At 37.1% G+C, this 23192-nt stretch overlaps 1 pseudogene across 1 annotated transcript in view; it reads left to right on the top strand.

Moving 5' to 3' along the window:
- Positions 1-23192, top strand: part of DPY19L2P1 (DPY19L2 pseudogene 1) — a 106187-nt pseudogene that overhangs the window by 25262 nt on the left and 57733 nt on the right. The window contains exons 7-11 of the transcript NR_002833.3: positions 10640-10826; positions 13032-13123; positions 15824-15923; positions 18955-19032; positions 19795-19881. The product of NR_002833.3 is annotated as a DPY19L2 pseudogene 1 (transcript). The remainder of the gene's footprint in view (positions 1-10639; positions 10827-13031; positions 13124-15823; positions 15924-18954; positions 19033-19794; positions 19882-23192) is intronic.

Below are 23192 nucleotides of genomic sequence, written 5' to 3'. Positions count from 1 at the left end.
AAACTAGTGACATAGTCAGTATTGTGCCAGGGATACTATCCAGCATGGTATATAAAAAGAAAAGTAGTAATAAGTATAAGGATTGGAAAACTTGAAAAAAAAGAAATGTGTTCTTAAAAGTAGATTACATCATGTATCTAGAAAAATGTTAAAAGTTTATGGATACAGTATTTGCAATAATAAGAAAATTTACAATGTTACTAGATGTAAGCATTAATATTAAAATTCAAAATTATAAATTTTATACTTTAGCATCAAATAGAAAATGAAATTTTGAAAGGATGCTATTTAGAATAGCATTAAAAGCACGATATTCCTCAGAATAAACCCAACAAAAGATACATATGACAGCTATGGGAAAATGATTAAAACATTCCTGAGATATGTCTAGGAAAATCTAAGTGGAGAGATATTCCACATTCATTGATTGAAGACTCGATATTAAAAAGCTTTATAGATTCAGTGCTCTACAAGTCAAAATTCCAACATATTTTTTGTTGACTTTGATGAGCTGATTTAAAAGTTATTCAGAAATGCAAAGGGAGAAATACAGTCAAGGTATTCTTGAAAAAGGAGGATTTGCACTATCAATTGTTGCTGTATTATAAAGCTAATGTAAAAAGACACTATGATATTGGCATAGCAATAGACAAATAGATAACTGCAATAGAGTAGAGCCCAGAAGCAGAAATGTACATTTAAAGGCATTTGATATATGGAAGAGTGGGTATCGCAGATTGGTGAGTAAGGACAGGCATTTTAATAAATAGTGCTGAAATAATTGGGAGATCATATGGAACAAGGAGAAATTGGAACTATATAAGTAATAAATCCAAGTTGGATTAAACACTCAAATATGAAAGACAAATTTATAAAGTGTTCAGCATATAATATAGAAAAAGTCACTTAGAATAAGAAATGATTTCATAAACAAGATAGAAAAATCCAGTCATGAAGAAAAACTGATAAATTTGATGAAAGGAACTTCAGTTCCTCAAAAGAACTGTAGGATAAAAAATAAACTGCAAAGTGAGTGAAGATATTTACAAAGTGTATACCCCACCTACTATCCAGAAATTTCATTCATTAATTTGATAAATATTTATTGAAAGACTGTTGTGACCAGGAGCACTGTTCTAGGTGCTTGGAATACAGGACAGAAATCTCTGTCCTTGTGAAGTTTATATTAGAGTGGGAAGATAAGGAAGAAAGACAACCTGATAGAAAAATGGACAAATTGTTTATGAACTGATATTTCCCAGAAGAATACCAAATGGTCAATAAACATATGTAAAGTTGACCACCATCATTAGTCATAAAGAAAATACAAATTCAACCACAGTGAAATACCAGCTCACATCTAATAGATTGATAAAGGAGCTTTCATCCACCACAGGTGGACATATAAATTGGTACAACTATTTTGGTAAACAGTGTACATTATCTGATAACGTTCAAGATATAGATACCTTGTAACTCAGTAATTCTAATTTAAAGTATATATTCCCAAAAAAGTGTTGCACATGTGTACTGGGAAGTACATGCAATAATATAGTAGCATTATTTGCAATAGCTTCAAACTGGAAACAACCCAAATATCCATTAACAGAGAAATGAATACATTTTGGTTTATTAACATGGTGGAACAGTATACAATAATGAGAATGAATGAACTATGCAGCTACACACAACATGGTGGAATCTTACAAATATAATTTTGAATGAATGAATCCAGGTACGAAATTAAAAAAAATACTCCATACTTCCATTTGTATGTTGTTTAAAAACAGATTAAAGTAAATCATAGTTTGATATGTATATAGAAATGGTTATGTTGATGATCTCAAAAATCAGGTCAGTAGCTGATTCTTATCTTGGAGGCTGGCAAGTGGAGACTCAGTATAATAATTTCTCTATTTCAGTTAATTATATGGTGACTACATGGACGTTCCTTTTACAATAGTTCTATAAGCTAGAAATGTTATGCACTTTTCTATATGCCATATAGAAAAAATATAAGCTCATTAAAGTATTTTGAGGGAAAAGGATTGCTTTGAGATTGTGTGGGCAGCTTTAAAAATGTTCTTTTTTTAAAAAAAGTTCTGTTTTTGGGCTGGGAGCAGTGGCTCACTCCTGTAATCCCAGCACTTTGGGAGGCCGAGGCGGGCGGATCATGAGGTCAGGAGATCGAGACCAACCTGTCTAACAAGGTGAAACCCTGTCTCTACTAAAAATACAAAAAAATACAAAAAAAAAAATTAGCCGGGCGTGGTGGCGGGCGCCTGTAGTCCCAGCTACTCGCAAGGTTGAGGCAGGAGAATGGCGTGAACCCGGAAGGTGGAGTGTGCAGTGAGCCGACATCGCGCCACTGCACTCCAGCCTGGGCGACAGAGCGAGACTCAGTCTCAAAACTAAAAATAAAAAAATGAATAAATGAATAAATAAGTTCTGTTTTTGAAAATGGTTTGTATTTCTTATCTTTTTTGTTTTTTCATATGGAAAATGTTACACAACAATGACTAAAACTTTAAAAATCAGTATATTTCATTAGGAGGGCTACCGAAGAGGTGCTAGTCTCTCTAAATTGGTTATATAGTCCTGGAATATAAAATACAATATTAGGCTCTATCTAGGCTTTAATAAGGATATACAGAGTCAACGAATATTGACTGAAGAGGTGTCATCAAAACTGTGAGGAGATTGGAAACTGGCATTCGAGGAGCAAAATAAATAGAAATTTGGGGAAAACTTTTGTATTTGTTACCATGGCTACCCTCCCCACTGACACTAACTGGGAAGGTAGATATGCTACTTCTATTCTTTTGGTGGCTAACCATAAAATTTTAACATACAGATATGATTTGTTCAAGTATAAAATACATTGATATCTTTCCCCTTCTTCCAATCAAACAAGGAATCTTGGAATGCTTTTCTTCAAAACATCCTCTTGTATCTTTTTTTCTATTATTATTATACTTTAAGTTTTAGGACACATGTGCACAACGTGCACGTTTGTTACATATGTATACTTGTGCCATGTTGGTGTGCTGCACCCAATAACTCGTTATTAACATTAGGTATATCTCCTAATGCTATCCCTCCTCCCTCCCCCCACCCCATGACAGGCCCCGGTGTGTGATGTTCCCCAAACTGTGTCCAAGTGTTCTCCTTGTTCAATTCCCACCTATGAGTGAGAACATGCGGTGTTTGGTTTTCTGTCCTTGCGACAGTTTGCTCAGAATGATGGTTTCCAGCTTCATCCATGTCCCTACAAAGGATGTGAACTCATCATTTTTTATGGCTGCATAGTATTCCATGGTGTATATGTGCCACATTTTCTTAATCCAGTCTATCATTGATGGACATTTGGGTTGGTTTCAAGTCTTTGCTATTGTGAATAGTGCCACAATAAACATGTGTGCATGCGTCTTTATAGCAGCATGATTTACAATCCTTTGGGTATATACCCAGTAATGGGATGGCTGGGTCAAATGGTATTTCTAGTTCTAGATCTTTGAGGAATTGCCACACTGTCTTCCACAGTGGTTGAACTAGTTTACAGTCCCACCAACAGTGTAAAAGTGTTCCTATTTCTCCACATCCTCTCCAGCACCTGTTGTTTCCTGACTTTTTAATGATTGCCATTCTAACTGGTGTGAGATGGTATCTCATTGTGGTTTTGATTTGCAGTTCTCTGATGGCCAGTGATGAGCATTTTTTCATGTGTCTGTTGGCTGCATAAATGTCTTCTTTTGAGAAGTGTCTGTTCATATCCTTTGTCCACTTTTTGATGGGGTTGTTTGATTTTTTTCTTATAAATTTGTTTAAGTTCTTTGCAGATTCTGGATATTAGCCCTTTGTCAGATGGGTAGATAGTAAAAATTTTCTCCCATTCTGTAGGTTGCCTGTTCACTCTGATGGTAGTTTCTTTTGCTGTGCAGAAGCTCTTTAGTTTAATTAGATCCCATTTGTCAATTTTGGCTTTTGTTGCCATTGCTTTTGGTGTTTTAGTCATGAAGTCCTTGCCCATGCCTATGTCCCGAATGGTATTGCCTAGTTTTTCTTCTAGGGTTTTTGTGGTATTTAGGTCTAACATATAAGTCTTTAATCAATCTTGAATTAATTTTTGTAAAAGGTGTAAGGAAGGGCTCCAGTGTCAGCTTTCTACATATGGCTAGCCAGTTTTCCCAGCACCATTTATTAAATAGGGAATCGTTTCCCCATTGCTTGTTTTTGTCAGGTTTGTCAAAGATCAGATGGTTGTAGATACGCAGCATTATTTCTGAGGGCTCTGTTCTGTTCCATGGGTCTATATCTCAGTTTTGGTACCAGTACCATGCTGTTTTGGTTACTGTAGCCTTGTAGTGTAGTTTGAAGTCAGGTAGCGTGATGCCTCCAGCTTTGTTCTTTTGGCTTAGGATTGTCTTGGCAATGCGGGCTCTTCTTTTGATTCCATATGAACTTTTAAGTAGTTTTTTCCAATTCTGTGAAGAAAGTCATTGGTAGCTTGATGGGGATGGCATTGAATATATAAATTACCTTGAGCAGTTGGCCATTTTCACGATATTGATCCTTCCTACCCATGGGCGTGGAATTTCTTCCATTTGTTTGTATCCTCTTTTATTTCATTGAGCAGTGGTTTCTAGTTCTCCTTGAGGAGGTCCTTCACATCCCTTGTAAGTTGGATTCCTAGGTATTTTATTCTCTTTGAAGCAATTGTGAATGAGAGTTCACTCATGATTTGGCTCTCTGTTTGTCTGTTATTGGTGTATAAGAATGCTTGTGATTTTTGCACATTGATTTTGATTCCTGAGACTTTGCTGAAGTTGCTTATCAGCTTAAGGAGATTTTGGGCTGAGACAATCGGGTTTTCTAGATATACAATCATGTCATCTGCAAACAGGGACAATTTGACTTCCTCTTTTCCTAATTGAATACCTTTTATTTCCTTCTCCTGCCTGATTGCCCTGGCCAGAACATCCAACACTATGTTGTATAGGAGTGGTGAGAGAGAGCATCCCTGTCTTGTGCCAGTTTTCAAAGGGAATGCTTCCAGTTTTTGCCCATTCAGTATGATATTGGCTGTGGGTTTGTCATAGATAGCTCTTATTATTTTGAGATATGTCCCATCAATACCTAATTTATTGAGAGTTTTTAGCATGAGGGATTGTTGAATTTTGTCAAAGGCCTTTTCTGCATCTATTGAGGTAATCATATGGTTTTTGACGTTGGTTCTGTTTATATGCTGGATTATGTTTATTGATTTGTGTATGTTGAACCAGCCTTGCATCCCAGGGATGAAGCCCACTTGATCATGGTGGATAAGCTTTTAGATGTGCTGCTGGATTCGGTTTGCCAGTATTTTATTGAGGATTTTTGCATCATTGTTCATCAGGGATATTGGTCTAAAATTCTGTTTTTTTGTTGTGTCTCTGCCAGACTTTGGTATCAGAATGATGCTGGCCTCATAAAATGAGTTAGGGAGGATTCCCTCTTTTTCTATTGATTGGAATAGTTTCAGAAGGAATGGTACCAGCTCCTCCTTTTACCTCTGGTAGAATTGGGCTATGAATCTGTCTAGTCCTGGACTTTTTTGGGTTGGTAGGCTATTAATTATTGCCTCAATTTCAGAGCGTGTTATTGGTCTATTCAGAGATTCAACTTCTTCCTGGTTTAGTCTTGGGAGAGTGTATATTTCCAGGAATTTATCCATTCTAGATTTTCTAGTTTATTTGCATAGAGGTGTTTATAGTATTCTCTGATGGTAGTTTGTATTTCTGAGGGATCGGTGGTGATATCCCCTTTATCATTTTTTATTGCATCTATTTGATTCTTCTCTCTTTTCTTCTTTATTATCTTGCTAGTGGTCTATCAATTTGTTGATCTTTCCAAAAAACCAGCTCCTGGATTCATTGATGTTTTGAAGGGTTTTTTGTGTCTCTATCTCCTTCAGTTCTGCTCTGATCTTAGTTATTTCTTGCTTTCTGCTAGCTTTTGAATGTGTTTGCTCATGCTTCTCTAGTTCTTTTAATTGTGATGTTAGGGTGTCAATTTTAGATCTGTCCTGCTTTCTCTTGTGGGCATTTAGTGCTATAAATTTCCCTCTACACACTGCTTTGAATGTGTCCCAGAGATTCTAGTATGTTGTGTCTTTGTTCTCATTTGTTTCAAAGAACATCTTTATTTCTGCCTTCATTTCGTTATGTACCCAGTAGTCATTCAGGAGCAGGTTATTCAGTTTCCATTTAGTTGAGCGGTTTTGAGTTAGTTTATCAATCCTGAATTCTAGTTTGATTGCGCTGCCATCTGAGAGTCAGTTTGTTATAATTTCTGTTCTTTTACATTTGCTGAGGAGTGCTTTACTTCCAACTATATGGTCAATTTTGGAATAAGTGTGGTGTGGTGCTGAGAAGAATGTATATTCTGTTGATTTGGGATCGAGAGTTCTATAGATGTCTATTAGGTCTGCTTGGTGCAGAGCTGAGTTCAATTCCTGGATATCCTTGTTAACTTTCTGTCTCGGGGTTCTGTCTAATGTTGACAGTGGGGTGTTAAAGTCTCCCATTATTATTGTGTGGGAGTCTAAGTCTCTTTGTAGGTCCCTCAGGACTTGCTTTATGAATCTGGGTGCTCCTGTATTGGGTGCATATATATTTAGGATAGTTAGCTCTTCTTGTTGAATTGATCCCTTTACCATTATGTACTGGCCTTCTTTGTCTCTTTTGATCTTTGTTGGTTTAAAGTCTGTTTTATCAGAGACTAGGATTGCAACCCCTGCCTTTTTTTGTTTTCCATTGGCTTGGTAGATCTTCCTCCATCCTTTTATTTTGAGCCTATGTGTGTCTCTGCACGTGAGATGGGTTTCCTGAATACAGCACACTGATGGGTCTTGACTCTTTATCCAGTTTGCCAGTCTGTGTCTTTTAATTGGAGCATTTAGTCCATTTACATTTAAAGTTAATAGTGTTATGTGTGAATTTGATCCTGTCATTATGATGTTAGCTGGTGATTTTGCTCATTAGTTAATGCAGTTTCTTCCTAGTCTCGATGGTCTTTACATTTTGGCTTGATTTTGCAGCGGCTGGTACTGGTTGTTCCTTTCCATGTTTAGCGCTTCCTTCAGGAGCTCTTTTAGGGCAGGCCTAGTGGTGACAAAATCTCTCAGCATTTGCTTGTCTCTAAAGGATTTTATTTCTCCTTCACTTATGAAGCTTAGTTTGTCTGGATATGAAATTCTGGGTTGAAAATTCTTTCCTTTAAGAATGTTGAATATTGTCCCCCACTCTCTTCTGGCTTGTAGAGTTTCTGCCAAGAGATCAGCTGTTAGTCTGATGGGCTTCCCTTTGTGGGTAACCTGACCTTTCTCTCTGGCTGCCCTTAACAATTTTTCCTGCATTTCCATTTTGGTGAATCTGACAATTATGTGTCTTGGAGTTGCTCTTCTCAAGGAGTATCTTTGTGGCGTTCTCTGTATTTCCTGAATTTGAATGTTGGCCTGCCTTGCTAGACTGGGGAAGTTCTCCTGGATAGTATCCTGCAGAGTGTTTTCCAACTTGGTTCCATTCTCCCCGTCAGTTTCAGGTACACCAATCAGACGTAGATTTGGTCTTTTCACGTAGTCCCATATTTCTTGGAGGCTTTGTTCGTTTCTTTTTATTCTTTTTTCTCTAAACTTCTCTTCTCACTTCATTTCATTCATTTGATCATCCGTCACTGATACCCTTTCTTCCAGTTGATCGAATTGGCTACTGAGGCTTGTGCATTCGTCATGTAGTTCTTGTGCCTTGGTTTTCAGCTCCATCAGGTCCTTTAAGGACTTCTCTGCATTGGTTATTCTAGTTAGCCATTCGTCTAATTGTTTTTCAAGGTTTTTAACTTCTTTGCCATGTGTTCGAACTTCCTCCTTTAGCTCGGAGTAGTTTGATCATCTGAAGCCTTCTTCTCTCAACTCCTCAAAGTCATTCTCCATCCAGCTTTGTTCCATTGCTGGTGAGGAGCTGTGTTCCTTTGGAGGAGGAGAGGCACTCTGATTTTTAGAGTTTCCAGTTTTTCTGCTCTGTTTTTTCCCCATCTTTGTGGTTTTATCTACCTTTGGTCTTTGATGATGGTGACGTACAGATGGAGTTTTGGTGTGGATGTCCTTTCTGTTTGTTAGTTTTCCTTCTAACTGTCAGGACCCTCAGCTGCAGGTCTGTTGGAGTTTGCTGGAGGTCTACTCCAGACCCTGTTTGCATGGGTGTCAGCAGTGGATGCTGCAGAACAGTGGATATTGGTGAACAGCAAATGTTGCTCCCTGATCATTCCTCTGGAAGTTTTGTCTCAGAGGAGCACCCGGCTGTGTGAGGTGTCAGTCTGCGCCTACTGGGGGGTGCCTCTCAGTTTTGCTACTCTGAGGTCAGGGACCCACTTGGGGAGGCAGTCTGTCTGTTCTCAGATCTCTAGCTGCGTGCTGGGAGAACCACTACTCTTCAAAGCTGTCAGACAGGGACATTTAAGTCTGCAGAGGATTCTGCTGCCTTTTGTTTGGCAATGTCCTGCCCCCAGAGGTGGAGTCTACAGAGGCAGGCAGTCCTCCTTGAGCTGCGGTGGGCTCCACCCAGTTCGTGCTTCCTGGCTGCTTTGCTTACCTACTCAAGCCTTGGTAATGGCAGGCGCCCCTCCCCCATCCTCGCTGCCACCTTGCAGTTTGATCTCAGACTGCTGTGCTAGCTATGAGGGAGGTTCTGTGGGCATAGGACCCTCCGAGCCAGGTGCGGGATATAATCTCCTGGTGTGCTGTTTGCTAAGACCGTTGGAAAAGTGCAGTATTAGGGTGGGAGTGACCCGATTTTCCAGGTGCCTTCTGTCACCCCTTTCTTTGATTAGGAAAGGGAATTCCCTGACCCCATGCGCTTCCCAGGTGAGGGAATGCCTTTCCCTGCTTCGGCTCATGCTTGGTGCACTGCACCCACTGTCCTGCACCCACTTTCCGACAATCCCCAGTGAGATGAACACAGTACCTCAGTTGGAAATGCAGAAATCACCCGTCTTCTGCATTGCTCACGCTGGGAGCTGTAGACTGGAGCTGTTCCTATTCAGCCATCTTGGCTCCACCCCCAACCAACTCATCTTACTTTGATTTATCCACATTTCCCCAGTTCCTCAATGTACAACTGGTCGTTGCTGCTCACCCATTCTTTCTTTCAATTTCTTCCTCTTTGAAGTTCATCCTTTGTATTTTCTCTGTGAAACTTTATTAAATGGTAAATCATTTCCCATGAGCTTTCCTCTGCTGTTTCCTTCCTTTCTTTCTTCATTAATTCAACCAATATTTATTAATCTTCCAAGTGTGAAGCTGGGGATATAGTAATGAACAAGACAGATAAAGAACCTGTCCCTGTCCTCATGGTGCTTAGAATGTGTTAGACTAGGGAAGTGGTGTATGGAGGGAAGATAAATGGAAGCATAGAAACACTACACAGATGTGGGATTGAGCATCTGCATTCTCATACACAGACATGATCACAAAAAGGCAATTTAAGAAATGGTTTTTGGCCAGGTGCGGTGGCTCATGCCTGTAATCCCAGCACTTTGGGAGGCTGAGGTGGCCGGATCACTTGAAGTCAGGAGTTTGAGACCAGCCTGGCCAACATGGCGAAACACCGTCTCTACTAAAAAATACAAAAATCAGCCAGGTGTGGTGGCATGTGCCTGTAATCCCAGCTACTCGGGAGGCTGAGGCAGAAGAATCGGCTTGAACCAGGGAGGCAGAGGTTGCAGTGAGCCGAGATCGCGCCACTGCACTCCAGCCTGGGTGACAGAGCGAGAGTCTGTCTCAAAACAAAACAAAACAACAACAACAACAACAAAGGTTTTTATCTTTCATCTGAATTTTGTATTCTGCGTTATTGCTTCTCTGGGACTCAAGTAAAGAATATTTGCAGTAGTTTAGACAGTTCTAAGTTAATGCTACGTGAAACTGTTAGAATCTTGTCTTCATCTCTCAGTCCCTTAAATCCAATTTCAAAAGATAAAATTTGCTTTTATTCAGAGTATTCAAAGGATGTGATCTAGACTCTAAAGTGCTAGCCTGCTTCTTAAAAATGATTTTATGTGGCCGGGCGCGTTGGCTCACAATTGTAATCTCAGCACTTTGGGAGGCCGAGGCGGGTGGATCACGAGGTCAAGAGTTCGAGACTAGCTTAGCCAACACGGTGAAACCCTGTCTCGGCTAAAAGTAAAAAAATTAGCCGGGCGTGGCAGCATGCGCCTATAATCCGAGCTACTCAGGAGCCTGAGGCAGGAGAATCGTTGGAACCCAGGAGGCGGAGGTTGCTGTGAGCCGAGATTTCGCCACTGCATTCCAGCCTGGGCAACAGAGCAAGACCCCGTCTCAAAAAAAAGATTATGTTCACACCTTATGTATTTTATTTAGAAAGTATTTTAGCTATAATAAATTATACAATTGAGATTAATTTATACATACACTTTTTAGAATTGTACATTCAGAATTTAAACTTCAACCACATGGGTATGGTTTAGTACTATTATGTTTTAAATATAGAAAACTGTGATTTTAAATTCTGAGTTAATTTTGTGAAAAATTCACTGTATTTTACATGAATTTTGATTGTATACTCTATTTTTTTTTTTTTAACAGTGGGACTCAACTGGGAGGTCTTATTACAGTACTGTGCTTCTTTTTCAACCATGGAGAGGTTTGTTTTCTAGAAAGCAATTTTTAAGAAATAGAAGAGGCTGTAGAGGAACAAGGAAATATACTCATCAAAACAATATTTAATTGTATACTACTTATGACTTCACAATATTTTAAAGACCCTCGTGTTGTAAGTTGATATTTTAATCATGTTGATTGAAATGTTTAAATAGCTAGAATTTCAAACATGAAATCTCTTGCCTTAATTTTAGTAAATATGTACATATACATATATTCTGTAGAGAAAAGGAAATATTGTACTTGTTGAGTTGAATCATATTATGCACATTATCTGATTTATTCCCACTAAACTTTTTTTGTGGGTGGTGGTAGCCTCACCATACAAGTTATGAAATTTGAATTTAGAGAAAGTTAAGTTACTTATCCACATTCCACATTTACTACATGATGAAACTGGATTTCCCATTCTATGTCTGTCTGCCTCTAAAACCTCACATATATATTAATTTATATTTTATAAATTATAAAATTATAGTTATATTTTATAAAAACTTATATATTATATATATAACATATATATTCAACTTTTTTATTGTGGTCAGAATAAGTAACATATGATCTGCCCTCTTAACAGATTTTTAAGTGTACAATATAGTATTAACACAAAGTTGTATAGCAGATCTCCAGAACTTATTCATCTTGCCTAACTGAAACTTTGTATACATTGCACTCCCCTTAACAACAATGAAAGAGGCCTCAGGCCTGACAGCAGGGATACAGTTAAGACACTGCCACCTGCTCCCTCACTGCTTTCTGTTACATCATGCTGTCTGTTCAGTAATGCAAAATGCTGAATTCAAAATAGACATTAACTTACTAATTCAGCCCAATGAAACATAGTCCACCTAAAAAAGAGCTCATAGAAGCTTATTTCAAATACAATGGATTCATTCAACAAATTATTGAGTACATAGCATGTCCATGCTCTGCTAGATGCTGAGGATATGGCAATGAAAAAGAGAGAGATTCTGACTACTAGCTCTTGGGAGCAAAACATTTAATATGTTATAACACAGGTTACATAGGGTAGAAGTACTTTTTTTTTTTTCAAGATGGAGTCTTGCTCTGTCACCCAGGCTGGAGTGCAGTGGCGCTATCTCAGCTCACTGCAACCTCTGTCTCCCAGGTTCAAGCAATTCTCCTGCCTCAGCCTCCTGAGTAGCTGGCATTACAGGCATGTGCCACCATGCTCAGCTAAATTTTTGTATTTTTAGTAGAGATGGAGTTTCACCATGTTGGCCAGGCTGGTCTCAAACTCCTGACCTCATGATCCACCCACCTTGGCCTCCCAAAGTACTGGGGATTACAGGCGTGAGCCACCACGCCCAGCCAGGGTAGAAGTACTTTTATCCATTGCTTTTGGGTTAATTTTTAAAAATCAGTTAGGTAAAGGAATCATAAAAATTATACATAAAAGCCTTATATATATTATTTTAAAGCAAACAAATGCATTGTCACTCAACAATGTGCTGTCATAAAGACAAAGGTTTTTCTCTGAGTGTTCCAGACAACTGTTGGTATAAGTTGACTTTCTTATATGTATCATAATTCCTCTTCCAACATTTACAATTTTGGTATCTTGGAAGAGAAGCAATAACTTTTAAGACTCTTGCAAAATAATAAGAGTTCACATTCTTTCTAGAATTTCAGAATTTTTGATGGAAAATTTTTCCAATACTCTGACCCATATGTCTTAGAAGTAATTTTAAAGTTTGTATGAAAATTTAATACTTTCATTACATGCATCACATTTGTAGTTCCCAAATACTTCTAGTTGTTTTTAAAATATATACTTAACCTTTTTTAAGGTACATTTTACAAATTCTGAGGCAATCATAGCTATTCGAAGTGTGTATTTATATTCATTCATACTTGTTATGTAGAAACTCTCTCAGTGCTTGCAAATGACCTAGGTGACATTTGTTTAGCTATTTGTCTTGGCATGCATATATCCCAAAGCCTGGGATGCCAAGAATCATATGCCAGGATCATACTGCGGGGCTGGGCTGTGGATCTAGTTGGTCAGTCCCAGAATTCTCACAACTCTTATACGTACAATCTTATTTGTCCCTTGGGTTTCCTTTTGCTCGGTCTGATATATCTGTTGCTGGTTTCTGGACATGGTAGTTAATTGCTCTCTACATAATGGCCTCATGAGTTAAGAGAGCTTCAAAAACTGAGAAGCTATGCCAGACACTCAGAAATGGGATCTAGTGAGCCTAGTATTAAAATTACTAAAACAAACTCACCCCTGGTTTTTTAATATGTTTGTTGTAGTAAACAGGATGTAAAGTGGGCATTTTGTTGATTGCAGGCCACCCGTGTGATGTGGACACCACCTCTCCATGAAAGTTTTTCCTATCCTTTCCTTGTACTTCAGATGTATATTTTAACTTTGATTCTCAGGTAACTTTGATTTGTAAAACAAAGGCAAATAAATTATAATTTAAGTTTCTTAAAATATACTTCAATTCAGCACTTTGGGAGGCTGAGGTGGGTGGATCACTTGAGGTCAGGAGTTCGAGACCAGCCTGGCCAACATGGTGAAACCACATCTCTACTAAAATACAAAAATTAGCCAGGCATGGTGGTGTGCATCTGTCATTCCAGCTACTTGGGAGGCTGAGGAAGGAGAATTGCTTGAATCCGGGAGGCAGAGATTGCAGTGAGCTGAGATTGTGCCACTGCACTCCAGCCTGGGCAAGAGAGCAAGACTCCCTCTAAAAAAATGTAAATATATATATTACATATATATACTTCAATCTATGAAGTTGTAATTACCAAATTTAGACCACTTTTTAGTTATTTTAAAAGTAAATTGAGTATAGAGTTAAGAAAATAATTCAAAATTGCTATGTAAAAATTGCTCTCCATTTAAGAGTGTAGGCTACAGGTTTTAGATAACTACATTATGTTTTAATAAACCAAAAGGTATGTGTTTGTATATAGTTTGCCAAGATTCAAAAGTTTTTGAGAAACAATTACATTTTCTCTTCACAGTCTAAGTACTCTGACATTGTTTTCTAACCTGTGGTTTTGATAACTGTGCCATGAAAAAAATGTTCTCTGGGCAAATGAATTTGGGAAATGCAGAGTTAGATGGATAAGGAGTACATATGTTCACATATTTATGAAGCATTTCTGAACAACCAATGTTTCTAACAGGACAACCAGTTTCATTTCAAACTTTTTTTTTGGATACACTTTTTTTGTAGGGATTACATTTATAAGCACTTTAGATATTTAAGAGGTCTGAGAAATGAACAAAAAACCCCATAAGTGGTAGAATAGTATAAATAACCTTATCAGAGAAATAAGTTTGATAGAATACTAATGAGAACTCTCACTGAATGAAATAATGATCACTATCTCCTCCAAACTCCCAGAGGACCCCATTCTTCACCTACTAGTCCCTGGCAGATTCTGCCTTATATAAAAATCATTTGTTTGTCTTCCTTGTTTTTTAAAACAGTAAACTTATGAATCTTCCACACATACACAAATCTTTATATATTTATTTAGAGATGAGGTCTTGCTCTGTCACCCAGGCTGGAGTGCAGTGGCACGATCGGCTCACTGCAACCTCTGCTTCCCGGGTTCAAGCGATTCTCCTGCCTCAGCCTCCCAAGTAGCTGGGATTACAGGTGCACGCCACCACCCCCAGCTAATTTTTGTATTTTTAGTAGAGGCAGGGTTTTACCATGTTCGCTAGGCTGGTCTCGAACTCCTGACCTCAAGTGATCCACCCACTTCAGCCTCCTAAAGTGCTGGGATTACAGGTGTGAGCCACTGTGCCTGGCCAATTATATGTATTTAAAAGTACTACTGGAAACAGGGACCATGCCATATTTATCTCTTTAACCACAGAACACTGCACACGTCCATGCAAATATTTGTGGCATTCAGATAAAGCTAATTGAAGAGTGGTAAATAGTAGTGTACTGGGGTGGCACAAACCTTGAGAATGGAGCAGGCTAACTTCTGATTTCTTACCAACCTGACAAGTATATTCTGGGGTTGAATTTGGATTTAGGAACCTCTCCTCATTCAGATTTCTATAGCTTTGCTCGGCACTTTGCCTTCTCTCAAAGATTAGGTGATGGAAGCTGCCCATTCTTCATCACCCCTTGCTATTCATTCCCAGTTTAATTCCTACGAAGGTGGGTTATTTTTATTTTTTTGAAGTGATATCAGTCTGGTCAGTCAGGGGTTTCATGGAATAAAATGTCTTAATGAGAACATTTAGGGTTGTATCATTGAGGGCATGTGCTATACTCTGTGTCTTAGTCAAAAGTAATTTTTGTCTGAAAAATATAAGATTACAAAGTACATAATGAGTATTTTATGATAATATTGTAAACAATATGAACATTTAGAATTTTGTTTTTGAAAATTTATATATGATTGTACAAAGATTCATCAAAATCCAATACAGAATTTATAAAAGGAAGAGTTACAGTTTTATTATTTATGTAAAATGTTTGTGTTTCTTTTTTCATATCTAAAAGTTACTGTAATTCTCTGTGGTAAAAGGTATTGGTTCCCAATACATCTCAGTAATGCAGAATGGACAATTTAAACTTCCACATGCTTCAGCTGAATTCTAGAATGATTTTTTAATTTTTTAAGATTCCTTTTCCTTAAATTTTTCCCATAGTTTTTAACTTATTACTTTGTCAGCACTTATATTTCTCTTCAATGTTTTTTGAAGCACAAAAGTGGTGGTATACAAAAGTTGTTGCTACACATACAGGAGAAGCATGTTGAGGTGTGCAGGGGTAGCGCCGCATCCTATTTTCTGACCTCCTTGCTGGAGTAATAAATTTCTAATGTCATGCATATGTAGAGGAAAAAGAGCTTTTGTATTTAAAATATTTAATGGTAAGTTACAATGTTAATTTTAAAACTCTAATTTTGATTGTTTCATGCAAGGAATGAAGTATTTCAAGTTCTTTTTAGTATACTTTAAAAAGTTAACTATATTTTGTTGTATTATAGTAAAGGTAATGGAATAATGTAGATTTTATCATTTTGCAATTAGTCTTTCTTTTCAGTGACAGCCCATTTTTAGGGTGAAACTTACTGGTATCAATTCTCTCTATTAAGGACCTCAAGCAATGATAGAAGGCCCTTCATTGCACTCTGTCTTTCCAATGTTGCTTTTATGCTTCCCTGGCAATTTGCTCAGTTTATACTTTTTACACAGGTAAGATGATTTTTTTAAATTAATTTTTATTTTTATTTTAAGTTCTGGGGTACATGTGCGGGATGTACAGGTTTGTTACATAGGTAAATGTATGCCATGGTGGTTTTTGCATCTATCAACCCATCACCTAGGTATTAAGCCCAGCATGCATTAGCTGGTTTTCCTAATGTTTTCCCCACCCCATCCCTTGACAGGCCCCAGTGTGTGTTGTTCCTCTCCCTGTGTCCATGTATTCTCATTGTTCAGCTCCCACTTATAAGTGAGAACATGTGGTGTTTGGTTTTCTGCTCCTGTTGCTGAGGATAATGGCCTCCAGCTCCATTCATGTCCCTGCAAAGGACCTGATCTTGTTCCTTTTTATGGCTGCATAGTATTCCATGGTATATATGTACCACATTTTCTTTATCCAGTCTATCACTGATGGGCATTTGGGTTAATTCCATGTCTTTGCTATTGTGAATAGTGCTGCAGTGAAGACATGGGTGCACGTGTCTTTGTAATAGAATGATTTATATTCGTTTGTGTATATTAATTAAGTTGAATGCAAGATGTACTTGGTTGTTTCCATAGAAATTTTTAAATATGGTTACATTTACGCCCTAAAAGATTTTCAAAATAGGGAATAAAGTTTACTTAAAGGTATGATTTTTATGAAATAATATAATTCCACATTCTTTTACTGTATTGGTTAGTTTGACAGATTTTAAGGCTCGACATGTGAAAGACTTTTTCTATTATTTTTATTCACAAATGTTATTTTTGGTGTTTGAGATAATATCTGTATATATCTACCTATAGATTTTCCTTTTGTCCTGAGAATCATTCTGGGTGCCAAGCTACGCAGCATGCTAAGGGCCAATCCTACTCTTCACAGCAGGACGTTCTGCTTCTAATTCAGCTAAATGTTGGCTGTTTTGTCTGTAGAGCAGAATTTTACCTGGAACCATTTCTGCGAGCTTTAATCATAAAGCTCATCATTGCTTAAGTGAGCTGAGCCCATATCCTGTTTCTAAAGCAACTACATAACTAGTAACAAAAAACTGAACTGGGGAAGCAGAGAGTAAATGGAGAATTTTGATGACATTTCATGATACTAAGATTTTCCATCAGAGCTCCTTCCTACATAACAAATGCTGATGATAATAATAATATTCTATATTGGAAGTGAGAAATTCTGCCAAGAAGTCTCATGCTGCCAATAGCCTACAAAGAATGAAATTATAACCCCAGCTCAATTGGTGCTTCATGTTTAAAGTATTCCCTCTGTTTTACTTCATAATAGTTGGCCCCTTTCAGGTTATAACACAGACATTATTCTATGGTTTTCATTATTTGCACATGCCAACAGAGTAGAATAGATTTTTAATGAGCATCATTTCATTGCAAGCAAATTTATTAATCCAGTGATACTGATGAAACTAAGAAGCTCTTTGGGGCCGGGCGCGATGGCTCACGCCTGTAATCCCAGAACTTTGGGAGGCTGAGGCGGGTGGATCACTTGAGGTCAGGAGTTCAAGACCAGCCTGGCCAAGATGGTGAAACCCCGTCTCTACTAAAAATACAAAAAAATTAGCCGGGCATGATGGTGGGCTCCTGTAATCTTGGGAGGCTGAGGCAGAGAATTGCTTGAACCCAGGAGGTGGAGGTTGCAGTGAGCCGAGATCGCGCTACTGCACTCCAGCCTGGGTGACAGAGTGAGACTCAGTTTCAAAAAAAAAAAAAAGAAGTTATTGGGTAAGTTTGATATTGCTGTTAATGATTTTCTAGTCATTCTCTGGATATATACTAGTCTTTTATTTTTCTTTACTAGTGTATATAGTTTTGTTTGTATGTGTGTGTTTCATGCTTACAGAGGGATAATTCAATGTTATTTTCTGGGAGTACTTTAAGATTTTATTCTTAATTGTGTTTTTCATAGATTAAGGTTAAAATTAGTTCATTGTGCAACCACATCTGGCTAATTTTTTAATTTTTTGTAGCGATGAGGTATCACCATCTTGCCCAGGCTGCTCTTGAACTCCTGGGTTCAAGCAGTCCTCCTATCTTGGCCTCCCAAAATGCTGGGATTATAGGCGTGAGCCACCATGCCTGGCCCAATTTTTTTTTATGACTTCTGTGCTCTCCTGGAATTTTCAATCCTATCAGTTACTTCCTTGAACATTTGAAGCATAGTTTAAAGATATATCTGATTATGCCAGAGAAGTGTTTGAGTGATCTCCAAGCTAAGAATAGTTTTTATATATTTAAAGGGTTATAGAACAAAAGTAGAAAAAGAATATACATACAAGAGACTGTATGTGACCAACAAAGCATAACATATTTATTATCTGGCCTTTTATATAACAAGTGTGCTGATCCCTGATCTAAATCTTTTGTGGATCTATTTCTATTGTGTTAGTGATAGTGTCTTATCTCCATCTATGCTGGGTTATTTTTGATGTGGTGCTGGACATTATACATGAAAAATTGGAGAGGCGAGTAAAAAGCACTAATAAATCTTGAACCACTTTTATGCAATCAGATTGAGATGATCCATAGATGGGTTTCAGTCTTTCTGAGGGCTGCTTGATTTCTGGTTCACTATTATAGTATGGACTTTTGAAACTCCAAACTAAAGCACCCTTCTTGGTGCACTCTGACTGCTGAATCTGCTGAAATGCCTGCTCAGCTTGTTGGTCTCCCAACTGCCTCTCAGCTGGCAGGCATCTGCCTCTGTTGAAATTGGCAGATACCTCTGGGAGAAAAGTGGCCCAAAATGTCATGCTCATCGGTATAGATTGCCATCTATCTTTTTAATTCCTCATTTGCTTTGTTAATAGTCTGTGGCTTTTATACATATTTTTAAAATATTTTTATTTATATATTTATATTTTTCCTAGCCATTCTAGTTCTTAGTGGGAAGGTTGGTTCAAATTCCTTTGCTTACCATTATTAGAACTGTAGCCCTCCTCTTATATTTACTTTGCCTGTGAATAGTAAAGTGTTAGTTTTCTATACTTTTTTTCACTTTTGCTTTTTTATATTATTTCAGATAGCATCATTATTTCCCATGTATGTTGTGGGATACATTGAACCAAGCAAATTTCAGAAGATCATTTATATGAACATGGTAACATTTTTAATATATATAAGTCAAATATTAAGATAGGTTCTCAGAGTTTATAAAATCGAAGTGATTCTGTTTTATAGGGTACCTCCTCTTTGGTAATATTTAATACATATGGTATTGGTGATATCCCGAAGGAAAACTGGAAATGTATATTATAGATGACATATTATAACAGATTATACTTTCAACTGGACTGTAGATGTGTTTTATTCTCTAGAACTTTTATTTTTATGTTTTACTTATTATTATTACTACTTTTAAAACTGCCTTTTCTTTCTCAGACATGAGATTTTTAGCATTTTGCCTGAATATGACACTCTAACTGAAATTTTATATTCTTGCAATTTTGTTTTGGGCTTAGGTCCCAAACATAGCTTCCTTAAAAACATAAAAAGTTAGTAAAGCTTCATAAATAATAGAAGTCCTGAAGTCTAACAAAAATATGATTAGTAAAACTGGTATTTATAACTAAGTCTTTCTTATTATATTACTCCATTGTTAAAACAATAGAAATCATAGACTTATTTTTCATTGTTCCAAGTAGCAGATGGAGAAAAAGTTAAATTCTGCCAGATAGAGTTTATGGTCTTGAATTTTAATACTTAGAATCTAGCAGTGACTTGAAATTCTATTATCATTTGGCCAAGAGTCGTTCATCTTTATGCAAATAAATTTGCATTAGAAATGGCTATATACCTACAAAATATGCATTATGCCAATATATGTAATAACCATAAAATGTATTTTTTTCTTTTTTTTCAGATTTCAGTTACCCTTAGTTTCATTTTGATGTTTGGAAATTCAATGTACTTATCTTCTTCTTATTCTTCATCTTTGTTAATGACGTGGGTAAGTGTTTAGTTCATAAAGTTGGGTTTTTTTAACCTGCCAAATAGCATGTTTTCCTGTCTAAAACAGGTATAAGAGAATAAATAGGCCCTTTCCTGATTATCACTCAACATGACAAAATTCTTCCCAAGCAAAGCTTTTTATCTATCTTATCCTTGAAAAATATTATAGTAGGAAGTTTTTCTTTTTAAGACAGTGCCCAAGTAAATATTTAAAAATGATCATAAAGTAATAAGACTTACTTTAATCATATCCCATTTTATGACAAAAATGACTTCTTTTCTCCTAAGTCACTTGAGGATGTTAAGTACTCATTGCAGTGACACTGCCATTGCCCAGAACATTTTTGGAACTTCTCTGAGTTTCCTTCACAGACTATGGCACATTCTTTAGTATGTCTTGCCTTTCAAGAGTGGGTTTGATCTTTGGAAATGACCAAAATTTTCTGAATATTTTGTGTGATTGGGCTGGGTAATACAGATCTTGCTGAAACGATGGTGTGACAGTAAAGTCATAAGACCGATTATTTTGCACCTATAACTAAATTATTTCTGAAGGCAGTTTAGAAAGTGTAGTTCCAAACTACTTTGAGCGATGGCAAGATAATTAGAATAAATGTGCAGTCTCTTCATGGGAACTACATGGAATGACACTCTTTTGGATATGTGTTTGGAAGGGTGGTTTAGTAAATCAGTTCTATTACATTGTAGTTATACTTCTGATATCTATAAGCCAGAACCTAGAATATTGTCCTGTACCTCCCATCTCCACACTGATCAGAAATGATACCAACTACGGTAATGCCAAAATATAGCACTTTTCCATGTATGGTGCAGTGATTTAATCTTTTGGGATTGCCCTTATGTTTTAACATTTTTGCTTTCCATATCCTTTTTCCCTCATAGTAATCCCTCCTCTTTCTCTCCCAGAAAAAATGCTCTTTCTTTCCAACATTTTGTCAAACTATTTCACCATTACAGAGTAGAGGACTCCTAATAGTGTGCTCATCTACCTCATTTAATGAAAACTTTTTTATTTTGAAATATAGTACAGATAAAACTGCATAAAGCAAATGTTTTGTGTGCTGACTTAGAGCTGGCTAATACTGATGAGTACAATGTCCCCTTCGTGTCTGCAGGGATTGATTCCAGGACACCCCCAACCCCTGTGGATACTAAAATCTGCAGATGTTCAAGTTTCTTATATAAAATGGTGTGTTATTTGCATATAATCTATGCACTCTTCCTATATACTTTAAATCATCTCTAGATTACTTATAACGTCTAATGCAATATAAATACTATGCAAATAGTTGTATACTGTATTGTTTTTTCATTTGTACTTTTTAAACTGTTGTATTATTATTATTTCAAATATTTTCTATCTGCTGTTGTTTGAATCTGCAGCAACTGGAACCCATGGATGTGGAGGGCTGACTGTGTTATGTATTATGTGGCAAACATTCTTAAACTACCATTATATCAAAATTATAACTTTCTAAATGAGTGTAGAAGCCTCCATGTGACCTGTCCCAAAGCACTCCCTTGTACTGCCCTAAAACGATAATGACTATCTTGACTGCTATGATAGTAACTTTCCAGCATTCCTTTATAGTTTCATCACTTAAGTTTCTCTTTTTAGCTACAAGTTTCCTGCATATCTGCCTGGTTTTATCCTCATGAAGTTTATTTGTTGAAGAACCACAGTCATAGAACATGTGGAGGATTTCATGGTCCAGATTTTGCTTTTTGAGTTCTTGTGGTATAGCTAAGCATGTTCCTTTGTCTCATGGTATAGCTTGATCTATTAGAAATTGGATCTGAAACTTGGATTGCTTCAGGCTTGATCACTTTTGCAAGTCTTTAGTATTGTTCTTTCATTAAAAGGCACATAATGTCTCTCTTTATGGTACTAGCCTTCAGTGCCTTATGCTGGATCTGTTAATTCATTAGGGATTGCAAAGTGGTCACATTCTAATCTGTCATCTAAAGTTCATTTAGGAAAAGTAAAGTAAATGTTGATTTACCTCTTTATTTGCAAGTTTTAAAAATAATGAATTGATTCCCTGTCATCTTCCAAATGTGGGCTCTTTGGGCTGTGTATGTGTGTGTTTAGGTTTCATTAGGAACATAGGGATTTAAACATTTTTGATGTATTTCAAGTTAATTGAAATTAATATCTTTACTCATTCTCAGATTGTTTCTCTGTTGACCAGGGGAGCCTCTTTATATTTCTCCTAAGTTCTCTGACATGACACTGGTGGTCTGATAGCATACTTGTGTCATGTATGACAAGTTTTTCCAGGTCTCTCTTGTGTACTCCTGCCCAAAACCTGGAGGAAGCCATTCCTGCAAGGCACCCTTCTTGCCTTTATTGGGGAAATGGTGTTTTAAGACTGCAGTCTGGGACCCATGGATGCTCATTGCTACTAAGTAGGTCATTGTTTCTAGGCCTTATTAGTGGGCAGAGCTAGGAAATATTATAGGTTGCAGGCTCGCTCTCTTTCTTTAAAAATATACCATGAAAATATGTGTGTGTGCATGTGTGTGTGTGCATGCATTTATGGTAAACTAGCTCACAAGTTCTGATGGGTATTTCCAAATCAAATTCAAGAATATAGGGTTTTTACTTAACTCTTTCTATCCTGTATTTGTTTTTTTGTTTCGCTTGGGTCTCAAGAAGCCAGGGGATGATAGAATATCATATATCCATTTGCCTTCTCCCAAAGTGTATGCATGAGAATTGCTATACTGCACCACGCACATGATTATGAGAAATAAAGAATTTTTTGCATATCCTTCTTTCATTCTCTTCACCCATTTTTTTTACTAATTCTGTATCTATATTGTCAGAACATAGAGTATTGCATACTGTATTTTCTGCCTTATCAATCTTATTTCATGTTTTTATGTGAACAAATATGCATTTATTTATCACCAGTCTTTATGTCGTTATCTCCTAGTTATCTTGGTTATTTTAGTCTTGTTCTACAAGAGAATTCCTTCAATTCTGATGTGTTTGTCACAGTTTGTTTTGTCGCCTTTTACTTGAAAGTGAAGTTGGCTCTATGTAAAATTCTTGTCTCTTTTATTTTTACTTTTTCTTTCTTTTCTTCTTCTGTTTTTTTTTTTTTTTTTTGAGACGGAGTTTCCCTCTTGTTGCCCAGGCAGGAGTGCAATGGTGCAGTCTTGGCTCACTGCAACCTCCAACTCCTGGGTTCAAGAGATTCTCTTGCCTCAGCCTCCCGTGTAGCTGGGATTACAGGCGCCTGCCACCACGCCCAGCTAATTTTTGCATTTTTAGTAGAGACG

The sequence above is a fragment of the Homo sapiens genome, chromosome 7 (genome assembly GCF_000001405.40).
Source record: "Homo sapiens chromosome 7, GRCh38.p14 Primary Assembly".
NCBI lineage: Eukaryota > Metazoa > Chordata > Mammalia > Primates > Hominidae > Homo > Homo sapiens.
The sequence above is the reverse complement of the archived record's forward strand: the minus strand, read 5'-3'. Positions and strand labels throughout refer to the sequence as shown.